This window comes from Homo sapiens, chromosome 16 (assembly GCF_000001405.40).
Source record: "Homo sapiens chromosome 16, GRCh38.p14 Primary Assembly".
Taxonomy (NCBI): domain Eukaryota; kingdom Metazoa; phylum Chordata; class Mammalia; order Primates; family Hominidae; genus Homo; species Homo sapiens.
In genome coordinates, this window is record NC_000016.10 from 10,099,662 (window position 1) to 10,113,689 (window position 14,028).

Genomic DNA, 14,028 nt, shown 5'->3' on the forward strand with positions numbered 1-14,028 from the left:
GTTTACTGGAGTCAGAAACAGAATAAAGGTAACTCACTTCAAAGGCTAGATTCAAATGCTACTTCCTAGAAGATACCTTCAGGACCCTCCTTCACTCCCAAATAGAAGGAACTCTGCTTTTTCAACATGGTATTGAAGTCAGAATGTTTGTTATTCCAAACACCAGTACTGAAACGTCTGCTCATTCCGTGAAGTTCCTGAGGTGCCGAGTGCTGGGGATATAACAGTGAAGATGGATAATTCTCCATTCTTACGGAGCTTCATTGAGGGAGCTCAGGGAGGCAGGAGTTAGTCAATAATCACAAAAGTAAAGCAACATCACAAATTGTAGCGAGTGCTATTTAAGTACATGAAAACAATTTACTAGTCAAGAAGTATCAGCAGAATGAACAGCAGGTGCAAAGGGCCCATGTCAGACAGGTGAAGGGGGGACATGAGGGCAACTGCAAGAAGGCCAATATTACTTTTGCAAGGAGCAGGTGAGACGTGGGGCTCCAGAGGTAGCCGAGGTCAGCCATGAAGTGCTTGGAAGGCCACAGAGACAAATTTTATTCCTATCACCATAGCAACGGGAAGCCATGAAACCGTTTTCAGCAGAGAAACAACATGATCGGGTTTGCATTTTGAAAGATCCCACTGGCTTCAGTAGAGAGGATAGATTTTGAGCAAGAAGCAAAGATGCTTGTGCAAAGGAGAGTAATTCGAAGACCTTTGGTAGTCCTGGCAAGAGATGTTGAGTGTTGGATCACAGAGCTGCTGATGGAAATGGGGAGATGTATTTCGACTGATGTTGGTCAAGTTACTTCTTTCTGCACCTCCATTTCCTCATCTGTAAACTGGGAGTAATAAGCCCACTCACCTCCCAGTGAAATGAGATGGCATGTAGAAAGCACCTGGCACATCCTGATGATTCAATAAACGATAGTCGTTGTTATAGTGATGATCTTTGTAACTCTTGTAAGATGCTTTTCAGTTCACATCTTTTTAAATGATTGTCTGTCCACACTGTTCACTCCATCTGTGCAGCTTTATGTTATTTGAAGGCATAGTGCCCCCCTGCTGGATTCACTTTATAACAATCAGTTCTCCCACCAGGATGATTAGCGCCCAGAAAGTGTAAGTAAATATTTGTGGAGAAAACTGATTTGAATGGCCCAGATGGTGGCACTCAGCCAGGCTCCCTAACCACTGGAGTTAATCCATCACAGACGTGCTGGCCAATGTTTTTCAAGGTGTGATTCTCCAGGTGTGACTTCCATGGAGGAGACACTTGGATCCGATCTGCCTTCAAAAAAGAATGTGTCATTCAGCCACTGGGGGTGCAGGTTACTGACATCCTCTGGCTTCAGAGCCCTCAGGATTCACTTCCGCTTTTGAGCTGAGGTCACATTCTGCCAGAGCAGTCCTCAGCCAGTGACAGGGCATGAGGGGGACATGGGGCCCGGCAACTTCTGCCCAACATGGGGCTCCTTTCATGGGCAACCTCTTCTCCAAAGCTTTCTGTTAGGTTGGCAGAGACTGTCTGGTCTGCATGGTGGTCTGAAGCTCTCCCTTGCACAATTCTACTTCCTGCCTTCCCTATTTTATTTTTTCCCAGGTACTTATGCCCTCTCAATAAACTTCTTGTGCCCCTAACTCCATCTCAGCATCTGTTTCCTGGAAGATCCAACTGGCTCACCTTGGAGAGAACAGAAACTAAAAGCCACAACATGAAGCGTATACAAGAACCAGGTAAGTTAAGTAACTCAGAGCTATCTCTTGTCCCAAAGGATGAAAACCTCCGAGCGCCGTGGAAGAGAACAGTCTGATTAAGTTGGCTCAAACTGCCAGGAAGCTTTCTGAGCAACAGCAGATGTTGGGGCTTCGAGAAAGATTGCTCTCTGCTTTTGGCCAGAATCCCTGGGGTCATTTAGGTGGTGATGTTGCCAGTTCTTCTCCCCTCTGGCCAACACCTCTCAATCCATTATTTGGGATACCAATTATAAACTTGGGACAAGAGCCTAATCTCCCAGCAAGGAAAACCTGGGCTGTCAGTCTACTTTACCAATCCCTGCCTTGGAAATTGCTATATATCTCAGGCTACAAGAAAGTAGAGGGAGACAAGAGAAAAAGCATCCCTCACACAACCTTCAGATCTTCCGCTGGAGAGATAGCCCCACTCTAGGAGGGAATGGTTATTGCTATAATTTGGGGGATATTTTGGCAGGTTTGGGAAAATCTATTCAAAGTTTAGTTTAGTCTCAATTTCTAGAACATCGAGCCACTTTTGTGTAGGCAAGGGTGACAGGAAAAGCTGAAAACATGGTGGTAATCCTAGAGATAATAGTAATAGCAGTATTTATGGAGCAATGAGTATGTTTGTAGATTGAGAGGGGTATTTTTTACAGAATCAGCTCATCTAATCATCACACGAACTCCTAGACATTGGTGCTATTTTCACCAACTATTTCAATAAGGACACAGAGGTTCTGATATGGTTTGGGTGTTTGTTCCCTCCAAACTCATGTTGAAATGTCACCTCCAGTGTTGGAGGTAGGGCCTGGCGGGAGGCCATTAGATCATGGGGGCAGATCCCTCATGAACAGCCTAGCACCATAACCCTGGTAATGAGTGAGCTCTCGCTCTTAGTTCACATGAGATTTGGTTGTTTAAAAGAGTGTGGCACTGATCCCCTTTCTCTCTTGCTCTGTCTTTCACCATGCGATATGCTACCCCCCTTTCACCTTCCACCATGATTGGAAGCCTCCTGAGGCCTCACCAGAAGCCAAGCTGAAGCCAGCACCATGCTTCCTGTATAGCCTGCAGAACCGTGAGCCAATTAAACCTCTCTTCTTTACAAATTACCTAATGTTGGGTATTTCTTTCTTCTTTTTTTCTTTTTTTTCTTTTCTTTTTTATTGGGGGGGACAGAGTCTCACTCTATTGCCCAGGCTGTAGTGCAGTGTTGTGATCTCTGCTCACTGCAACCTTCGCCTCCTAGGTTCAAGCAATTCTTGTGCCTCAGCCTCCCAAGTAGCTGGGATTACAGGCATGCACCACCATGCCAGGCTGCCTTGGGTGTTTCTTTATAGCAACACAAGAATGGACTAACATGGGCTCAGAGAGGTTAGGTAACTTGTCTAAGACCACAGAGCTAGCAAGAGGTAGAGCTAGGATTCAAACTTAGGTCTCTCCAAAATCAAAGACTACATTTATCCTCCCTTCCTCCACTGTTCTAGATCACTCTTGCACTGGGGCACTCTTGCTCTGAGAGACGTATCCCACTCACAGACATGGAGTGGATGCCTCGGTTGCTGCATCATTTAACAAGCATCTATTGTCTGCTCTGTGCCATCCCCTATGGTAGGCACTGGGACGAAAAGAATGAATGATCCTTGACATCAAGAAGCTCAAAGACTAGCTGGAAAGATACTAATATAGCAATTCCTTTTATTTTCTCTAATAGGAGACCCACTCGCAACTATGAGGAATAGATACTATCAGCAGCAACAGCAACTTTTTTTTTAAGGACAAAGAAAGTAAATATGGGAAAATGTAAACTTGTCCAAAGACATACATCTAGTCATGAGAAAGCTGAAACCCAAAACAGCTAAGCTGATGTATCACAGCCTCTGAATCACCATCACTGAAAGAAACAACACACTTGGGGATGGGGGAGTGGCTCTCCTTGCACAAGCTGGGATGCAATTTGCAGACATTTTGCAGAGCAGAAAATATATGAGTCTCTGAAGGGCAGTGATCAATCATTTCAGCCATCTTAAATGAGACCAGAATAGATACAAGAAGAATCTCAGCCACATATAACTCTAACCATCAAGGGTATTACTAACCCCCAAAATATTTCATCTTCTTGAAGTTTTATGGCTATGGCTCTTGAGTGTTTTGGGGGTACAGGGAGATATGGGTTTAGGCAGCTGAAGCAATACCTATCTATAGATAAGAATATCGCCAGAAGTCCTAATAACCTCAGAAAATCTACAAAACAAGAGAGTCCATATGTATGCCGGAATCCCTGCCCCTGACATGTTTACTCTGCTGACTACCTCCAGTGACAGAACTCTAGACTTAATTAGCCAGCTCATAGCTCTTCCACATACTTTTTGGAGGTAGATTTTGTCTCTATGGGCTCTACTTCTTCCCTTAGATTCTAGAGCACCATGGAATGTATCTGCTCTATGTTCAAGATGAAAGCCCTTCAAATAATTGGGTATAGCAATCTACTCACCCCTCTCACTTCCTCATTTCTCTCCACTCTCAGAAATGCAAACATTTATCCTTTTGTTGATGTTATTCAGGAACCACTTCCAGCAGCCTGTACCTCCCTTAGTCATGTTCCTTTTAACAAGCTCAGTTTATCAATGTCCTTCTTAAAATACAGAACTCACACATGAGCATAACCGAAGATACAATATTTGTGAAGGGACTGTGAAAACAAGAGTAGGCAGAGGCAAAGGGTTGTTATTTTTTCTCTAGGACTAAATAAAAATATAAATGCTATTTCTCTTAACACAAACCAGTTTGAAGAAACTATTCGACGTATTCATTCTGTCATCTGTTCATTCATCTGTTATTGAACCTTTCAAGGTAAAAGATTAGAGGATTCTGGCCAGGAGAGAAAAGAGAAAAGTGGATGGATATGAACACTATGTAGAAGGTGTAGTCACAGGGCGAGGGGTGTGAGGGAAATGGTGGCAGCAAGAAGTTGAGCCTGGGCATCTGGGAGGATGGTGGTGCCATGCCCTGGAGGAGGACCAGTTTGAAGAAAGAATATCATAGGAGTCCAATAAATACTACTAGAATGAATGACTTAATAATCAGTATGTAAGTTACATTCATTCCCCTCTGCTTCTGGCTTTCCATCTGATTAGATCAAAAGCACTCTTGCATATGGAAAGCTTGCACGAGCACAATTTTACGTGGTTATGGGAAGGAATGGTGTTCTCTATGTGTATTTTTATTTTTTCCAATGATTGGATTCTCCAGGGTGCGCACATGACAGAGACAAGTTTCTGTACTGAGTCCTGATTCCCTAGGCAAAAAGTGCAAAGCATACCGAAAAATAAATATCCAGCCTTAAAAAATCAGTACAACAATCCCTTGGCTCCCATGAACATCGTAGACCCCACTGTGTGCAGGGGCCGCAGTCGACGGCAGGGTATGAGGAGAAACAGGACAGGTTTCCATGTCCCTTGTGAGCGCAGAGTGTAGGAGGAAGATTGACAGGAAAACCAAAATAAGACACCTGAAACTCCACGATATGATAAATGATATGACAACAGGGGGAGGTGCTAAATGTTACGAGAGTGCAGCAGAGGCATAAAATAAAAGAAGCCTGAAGCAAACTTTTAATTCGTTACACAAAAAAGTCTTTAGTCTTCTTTGCCGAGATTAAAGCAGTGCCACTCTGGGTCTGGAGCCGAACTGGTAGCTGGGGTCTAGAAGAATTCAGAGTTCATCCCGAGTCTTCTCTAGAGATGGAAGCCTGGAGAAGCCTGGAGAAGCCTGGGGAAGCCAGAAGGCCCTGAACCCCTGACAAAAAGCCTAAGGATCCTCACCCAGCAATGCTGACCACGACCATTAAAACATGAAGCCCACCCCCAAAGAGGAAAATCCTTGCCCTTTAATGAAGCTGCCAAAAACCTCCAAATTTAACAGTTTGCACTGTGTCTTTCTGCAGACACAGAAAAATGAGCTGGGAAATAGAACAGTCACATCTGGCCAAGAGAGTTGTGGACTTTTGAGGTGTTGCCTGGGTCTCCTGGGCAGTAGAATCAGCTGACCCAATGTTTAATAGAGAAACTACAAATTTTCAAACATAAGAAAACCATGTAAAAAAAAAAAATCAATGGGGGAGGGGGTGTTTAAATGCATTTGAGACCAGCCATATGACAGCGATTTGGAAGCCCTTATAACCCTTAGTTTTAATAACATAAGAATTCCCTATGAAATTCTAAATAAGGCTGGGCATGGTGGTTCATGCTTGTAATTCCAGCGCTTAAGGAGGCTGAGTTGAGGTGGGCAGATCTCCTGAGGTTAGGAGTTTGAGATCAGCCTGGCCAACACGGTGAAACCCCATCTCTGCTAAAAATACAAAAATTAGCTGGGCATGGTGGTGCGCACACGTAATCCCAGCTACTTGGGAGGCTGAGGCAGGAGAATGGCTTGAACCCAGGAGGTGGGGGTTGCAGACAGCTAAGATCGTGCCACTGCACGCCAGCCTCGGTGACAAGGCAAGACTCTATCTCCAAAAATAATAATTCTAAATAAAGCAAAATAAAATGTATGCATAAACATATATATGCAAAGGTATATGTATATGCACATACATGCATACATGTGTATAGATATATGTACAGTATAGCCTGCCAGCTATGTTAAAAGAAGTTTTTTGCAAAGCCACCTTTTGTGTATGGAACTGTGTGTGAAAAAAGACTTATAGAACTGTGAGAAACTTGGATAAGATGAGGCATGCGTACTTCCCCATCTGAAATAGCCAAGATGATGACCATTCTTATAAGTGAAAGAGTTTTTTTTTTTTGTTTGGGGAAGTGTTTTTTTTTTTCTTTTTATCTTTCATTCCTGTTCAAATTCTTTTTTAATTTACACATAAGAAAAAGTGGTCTGGCACAGTGGCTCACTTCTGTAATCCTAGCACTTTGGGAGACTGAGAGGGAGGACTGCTTGAGACCAGGAATTCGAGACCAACCTGGGCAATATATTGAGACCCTGTCTCTATTTAAAATTGTTTTAATTTAAAAAAATTTACAATAAATAAATAAAAATAAGAAAAACCTCCCAAATCCCACCACTCTAGTACAACCAAAGTGGCCACACCATCACACGTGAGGTTGTTCACAGCATCCTTCTCTGGGGATGATTCTAAGTCCCTTGAAGATAGGGAGCGTGACTAGTTTGTCTCTGAATCCCTGGTACCTGGAAGTGGCCTGACCCCCAGAAGGCACTCCGATGACGTCTGTTGAATGGATAGATGAGAATGCACATAAGAAAAAGTGATTTTTTTCCTAACAAAGTAAAATGGCATTCCACGGACTTTGGGGAAGTTGGCTCCTTCACTTCTAGAGAAAAAAGGAGAATAAGGCAGGAATTCAAAATACTCTTATGAACAGAAAGGCAACAGGTAGAGCAGGACATGGAGGGATTCATGAAGGGAGAGAAGGAAGGCAGGGAAGCTGGGCTGTGCAATAAGCAGCAAGCCTGGGTGTTATTTCAGCCTCCCGAGAACATGCCAGAATAGACATTGCCATTACCTCCATTTTCAGAGGAAGAAACTAAGACAAATGAATCAGACAGAAGACATGATGTTCATCTCATAAATGGACATGTGGAGATTTGAACCCAGCTCAGCTGGCTTTGAATTCAGAAATCTTTACCCCTAAGGGACATCATGAAGCAAGACAAAGAATGAAATGGAGGGCTAGGATGATGACTGGATTTCCTGCTGATTGAAGGAATGTTGAACCAAGCACATGTACTTCAATCCTAACCATACACAGGGAAGTTCTTTCTGTATTTGGAAGAGCTAAGCGGAAGATCTCAGCACTAGTCCCAGCCCCTGTGTCCATGCCATTTCAGCACTAGATAACAAGATATATCCATGTAGGAAGATGGATGAGGAAAGCAGGGTGGATCTGTCTCCCCCAAAGGAAACCACAAGGCATAAACAGCAGCAGTCCCCAGAGGACAATGTACACACAACCTCTTTCCTCCAACTCTGGTGTTGAAACTGCCCTGAGCTGACTTTAAATCCACTGCAGGTAGTTGCATGAGGAGTACTTACAGGATCCTGCTGGCTCTGTTGCTACTCTCTATCATGGAGTCCTGCAGCCTTTGAATAAATACCTGCCAGGCCAAGCTAGCAAATAGCACAGTTTCATGTCTGGAATTTGCAGACCAGGGCTGAAGGAAGTTAGACACGCTTCTGTGAAGAAAACTGATATTCTGCTGGGGTTTGCAAGATCCCTAAAGGTCCCGTCCTCCCCCTGGGAATCCCAGCAGTTTAGAAGATTCCTGAAAGGGAAAGGAGCAGCTCACCTGAGACAAGCAAGGGCCAGATTGTTGAAGCCATCGTTGCCCTGCTGAGCTTCAGGACACTCAACTCACAGTTGCAGATTTCATAAGCAACAAAAAGAAGAATCCATTTCACAGGCATTTTTCAGTGCCTGTCTGACCACACTGATCAAGGCAGTGGGGGTACAGAGGTGCACAAAACGTGCAAAGTGCCTGCTACAGTGATGCTTACCCTCTGGTGGGGAGAGCTGAAGTTCTGGGAAAGTACAGTTTGAGGGAATGCCTCATATGCAAAAGGCCAACCCTGGGCTAGATCCTACTCATGTATGTCTCATCCAGTTCCTCCCAATAATCCCAAGATTAGGTACTCCTTGCATCAAATCATTTTAAAGAAGAGAAAATTGAGTGTATTAGTCCATTTTCATGCTGCTGATAAAGACATAACTGAAACTGGGAAGAAAAAGAGGTTTAATGGACTTACAGTACCACATGGCTGGGAAGGCCTCACAATCATGGTGGAAAGCAAGAAGGTGCAAGTCAAGTCTTACATGGATGGCAGCAGGCAAAGACAGAGAGCTTGTGCAGGAGAATTCCTCTTTTTGAAACCATTGGATCTCATGAGACCTTATTCACTATTGTGAGAACAGCATAAGAAAGATCCACCCCCATGATTCAGTTACCTCCCACTGGGTCCCTCCCACAACATGTGGGAATTGTGGGAGTTAAAATTCAAGATGAGATTTGAGTGGGGACACAGCCAAACCATATCATTGGGTCTCAGAGAAGTAATTGCCTCAAGAATCACACAGCTGACAGGTAACAGAGCCAGAACTCAAACCCCAGGCCTCCTGATCACAGCTGCCATGTTGCACAACCCTCATCTCAGAAGGAATCAGAATTTGTGTTCACGGTTACACGTGTTCAGGGTCACACACTTAGTGTACGATGTAGCCGGGGTTAAAGCTGAGATGAGCCAACTCTAGACCCTAGTCTCTTAACCACTATAGATACTGCTGTGCTAGCATACTTGGAAACCACCATATATGTTCTTGGAAATTCACCAAGCACATTACCATGTTAGGCAGACTTATTACTATTCTGCAGTATCTGCAAGTAACATAGAAGCAAAAAAAGCACATAACACATAAAATAATTACACATAGACCTGAGGTAGAAAACAAATAATCAGAGGAGAAGGCAAGAGAAAGGTGAAGCCACCTTAGGTAGAATGGTCAGGAAACATCCTTTCTGAGAAGACATTTAGGCTGAGAAGCTAATTAAGAAATAACAGAGAAAACTAATGAAACCCAAAGCTGATTCTCTTTAAAAAAAAAAAAAAAAAAAAACAAAATTGATAAACCTAGGTAGACTGATCAAGAAGAAAAGAGACTATCAGAAATAAAGTCTGGTGCATTACTACAGACTTTAAGATATTAAAAGGATTAAAAAACCCTTATGCCTATAAATTTGACAACCTAGATGAAATGGACAAATTCCTGGAAAGATACAAATTACCAAAGCTTTTTCAAAAAGAAATAGAAACCTTCACCAACCCTGTATCAATTAAAGAAATTGAACCCATAGTTTAAAACCCTCCCACAAAGTAAACTTCAGGCCCAGATGTCTTCTCTGCTGCACTCTATAAAACATTTAAGGAAAAAAAAAAAAGAGTCCTACACAAATTATTTCAGAAACTAGTGTTCAGAAGGCAATACTTCCCAATTCATGTTATGAGGATAGTATTACCCTGATTCCAAAACCAGAGGAAGCCATTATAAGGAAACTCTAGACCAACCTTCCTCGCAAACATACATGCAAAAGTGCCCCACAAAATATGAGCAGATCAAATAGAAAAATGTAACAAAAGGCAATGCATTATAACCAAGTACGTTCACACCATGAAGGTAGGCTGAAATCCAAAGAACAAGAAATAACCAGATTACAAAAAAAAAAAAAATAGGAAGAATGAATAAGACCTACCATTTAATAAATGGCACAACAGTGTGACTATAGTCAATAATTGAACATTTTTAAATAACAAAAAATATATAATTGGATCGTTTGTAACACAAAGGATAAATGCTCAAGGGGATGGAGACCTCATTTTCCATGATGTGATTATTTCACATTGCATGCCTGTATTAAAACATCTCATGTACCCCATAAATATATACACCTACTATGTACCCACAAAAAAAATAAAATTTTTTTTAATTTTATTATTATTATACTTTAAGTTTTAGGGTACATGTGCACAATGTGCAGGTTAGTTACATATGTATACATGTGCCATGCTGGTGTGCTGCATCCATTAACTCGTCATCTAGCATTAGCTATATCTCCTAATGCTATCCCTCCCCCATCCCCCCACCCCACAACAGTCCCCAGAGTGTGATGTTCCCCTTCCTGTGTCCATGTGTTCTCATTGTTATTAAATAAAAAGAATTTTAAATAAAAACAGAAATAACCTGTCAAGTGAAGAACAACAAGAAAGTTCTGGGCAAAGGGAGTGGCACACGCAGAGGCTACAGGGTAAGAAAGAGCTTGGCAAATTTGAAAAGTTGAATGGAAACCATTTGGAATAGCATTTAACGAGTTAGGGGAACGTGGTAATGGATGAGACTGGAGAATAGACAAGGCTAGATCACACAGGACCTCATCAAGGTAAATAGTTTGGATTTTTTAATAAATTCTAATGGACGCTATTACATGGTTTTTACCTGGGGAATGTCGTGGAACTGTTTGTTTTAATAAAGATTTCTTAACAGAATATGGAGAAGCAAGTGGCAAGGGGGCAAAGTGGAAGAGAGATACCAATGAGGAAGCTATTGGAGTGATCCAGGGGAGTGATGGCGCCAGCCAGGACTGGGGGGTGCATGGGCAAGGGAGAAAAGTGGGTAAGTCAAGGGATATTTCAAAGATAAAACCAACAGGATTTGCTGACAGACTGCAAGTATGAGATAAGGAGAAATCTTGTAGCAGGTTCTGGATAAGTGATCATAAATCCTACTCCGTTTTCCTCCTGGGAATATTTAGTCCATAAAAAACTTCCCAGGCTCCACTCCTTTCACAGCTCAACACAGATGATGTCAGTGGCCTTAGAAGCCATATGTTGAAGGTGGCAGAACCAAAAGATGAAAGGAGCTGAGCCCCTGAATCGTCACTTGTCAGAGGGCCGCCCTCTGAATACAAACATCCACATTTGACTTCAGACGAGTAAGAAGTACATCTGTGGTGGATTCAGTTTCTGCTATTCAGGGATGTATGTGTTAAACTAACTTTTCTTAACCTAATTACTTCAGACAAAAATCAAGAAAAAGCTAGTATATCAGCTCGACCAATTAAGTGGAGCTAAGAATACTCTTACTTCAGCTCTTAAAAGAACTGATTGAAATGAGACAGTTTGGAGGCTTTCAAGGGATTTGTTCAATTCCATTTCTAAAAGGAATCTATACTGAGAAAATAACAGTAAATATAAAGGTTTATGCACAGAGATGTTTATCAGTGGCATTTATATTAGCAAAAGTTTCCATGAAAATGACCAAGGCACCCAACACTAAGTGGTTAAATAACCACCACTATGGGCATTAAAAATTATGCTTACAGTTCCCAGGCCCACAGCGTCAGCAGCAGCGGCAGCAGCGGCAGGCGGCCGCGCGGGTGTTTGTCGCTTCGCGGGGCCTTGCGGCAGCATGGCGAACCATCTGATCAGTGGCGGCACCGGCTACGTGCCCCAGGACTGGCTCACCGTGCAGCAGCTCTTCCTCGGCGCCAACTGCCGCACCCACAACAACTTCCTGATTCTCCCATGGTTCATAGATTTCATAGCTGATGAGGTAGACCTAACTTCAGCCCTGACCCGGAAGATCATGCTGAAGACACCACTGATCTCTTCCCCTATGGACACTGAGACAGAGGCCGACATGGCCATCGCGATGGCTCTGATGGGAGGTATTGGTTTCATTCACCACAACTGCACCCCAGAGTTCCAGGCCAACGAGGTGCATAAGGTCAAGAAGTTTGAACAGGGCTTCATCACGGACCCCGTGGTGCTGAGCCCCTCACACACTGTGGGTGATGTGCTGGAGGCCAAGATCCGGCATGGCTTCTCTTGCATCCTCATCACTGAGATGGGCACCATGGGGAGCAAGTTGGTGGGCATCATCTCCTCCCGAGACATCAACTTTCTTGCTGAGAAGGACCACACCACCCTCCTCAGTGAGGTGATGACGCCAAGGATCAAGCTGATGGTGGCTCCAGCAGGCATGACATTGAAACAGGCAAATGAGATCCTTCAGCCTAGCAAGGGAAGCTGCCTGTGGTCAATGATCGCCATGAGCTAGTGGCCATCGTCTCCCACACCAACCTGAAGAAGAATCGAGACTACATTCTGGCCTCCAAGGATTCCCACAAGCAGCTGCTGTGCAGGGCAGCTGTGGGCACCCATGAGGATGACAAATACTGCCTGGACCTGCTCACCTGGGTAGGCATCAACGTCATAGTCTTGGACTCCTCCCAAGGGAACTCGGTGTATCAAATCACCATGGTGCATTACATCAAACAGAAGTACCTCCACCTCCAGGTGATTGGGAGGAATGTGGTGACAGCAGCCCAGGCTAAGAACCTGATTGACACTGGTGTGGATGGACTGCATGTAGTTATGGGCTGCAGCTCTATCTGCATCACCCAGGAAGTGATGGCCTGCGGTCAGCCCCAGGGCACTGCTGTGTACAAGGTGGCCAAGTACGCTCAGCACTTTGGTGTGTCCATCATAGCCGATGTGGCATCCAGACCGTGGGGCACGTGGTCAAGGCCCTGGCCCTTGGAGCCTCCACAGTGATGATGGGCTCCCTGCTGGCCACCACCACGGAGGCCCAGCGGCGAGTACTTCTTCTCAGACAGGGTGCAGCTCAAGAAGTACTGGGGCATGGGCTCGCTAGATGCCATGGAGAAGAGCAGCAGCAGCCAGAAACGATACTTCAGCGAGGGGGAAAAGGTGAATATTGTGCAGGGTGTCTCGGCCTCCATCCAGGACAAAGGGTCCATTCAGAAGTTTGTGCCCTACCTCATAGCGAGTAACCAGCATGGCTCCATGATGTACTCAGGAGAGCTCAAATTTGAGAAGTGGACCATGTCAGCCCAGATCGAGGGTGGCGTCCATGGCCTGCACGCTTACCAGAAGCAGCTGTACTGAGGATAGCAGTGGAGGATGAGGTGGTGGAGGGAGCATACCCCAGTGTCCACCTTCGGGCACAACCTCTCTCCATAACTGAGTGGTCCACAGATTTGCACTACGGGTTCCCCAGCTCCTTTCCAGGGAGAGAGGAGGAGAGGTCCTGAAGGCTCTGCAGCCCCTCGCTGAGCATCCCCTACAGAGTCGGGCCTGCTCCCTGGGCCAGGCTGCCTGGGGGCGCCCCCCAGCCCAGCCAGCCAGGCTCTCAGGCCCTGCGCCTGCCTCAGGTCTTTCTTGCTGCAGCATGCTCCAGCATGGCCCCCACCCCAGGGACAGGAGGCCCCACCTGGCTTCTCCTGTAGGGTACCTCCCTGCCCCCAGCCCCCCCAGGAAATGGTGCTTTCCTGGCTCTGCCTCTGGCTCTTCCCGGGCCGCTGCCCCCTCAGCCATGTGGCACTTCTGAGCTCCTGACCTAGGCCAAGAGGAGGTCTCTGCCCCCTTCCCCGGTCCTGGGCTACCCTTGGGTCCTGGCTCCTTAGGCCATTCCCCTGTCCCTGGCCCCGGGGAGGAGGCTGCCCTGCTCATGGCCGCCTGCCCATCATTCGTGACTCACCACCGTCCCCATATACCATTCCTGCCCTCTCCTCAGCTGCAGTTGAAGGCTTTAACTTTGCACATTTTGGGATCACAGTTACATCACTGTGTATTAAATAATCAGAATAAATAAAAATTATGCTTACAGAGATTTTGATAGTAAGTGAAACATGCAGCTTATACACTACTGCATGTATAAATTGTGTGCAATTACAAATAGGTATGGATATATT

At 44.8% G+C, this 14,028-nt stretch overlaps 1 protein-coding gene and 1 pseudogene across 7 annotated transcripts in view; one reads left to right on the forward strand and one right to left on the reverse strand.

The window, feature by feature from the left end:
* GRIN2A (glutamate ionotropic receptor NMDA type subunit 2A) overlaps window positions 1–14,028 on the reverse strand; it is a 429,505-nt gene that overhangs the window by 346,258 nt on the left and 69,219 nt on the right. The window lies entirely within an intron of this gene.
* IMPDH1P11 (inosine monophosphate dehydrogenase 1 pseudogene 11) lies at window positions 11,648–13,929 on the forward strand (annotated as a pseudogene).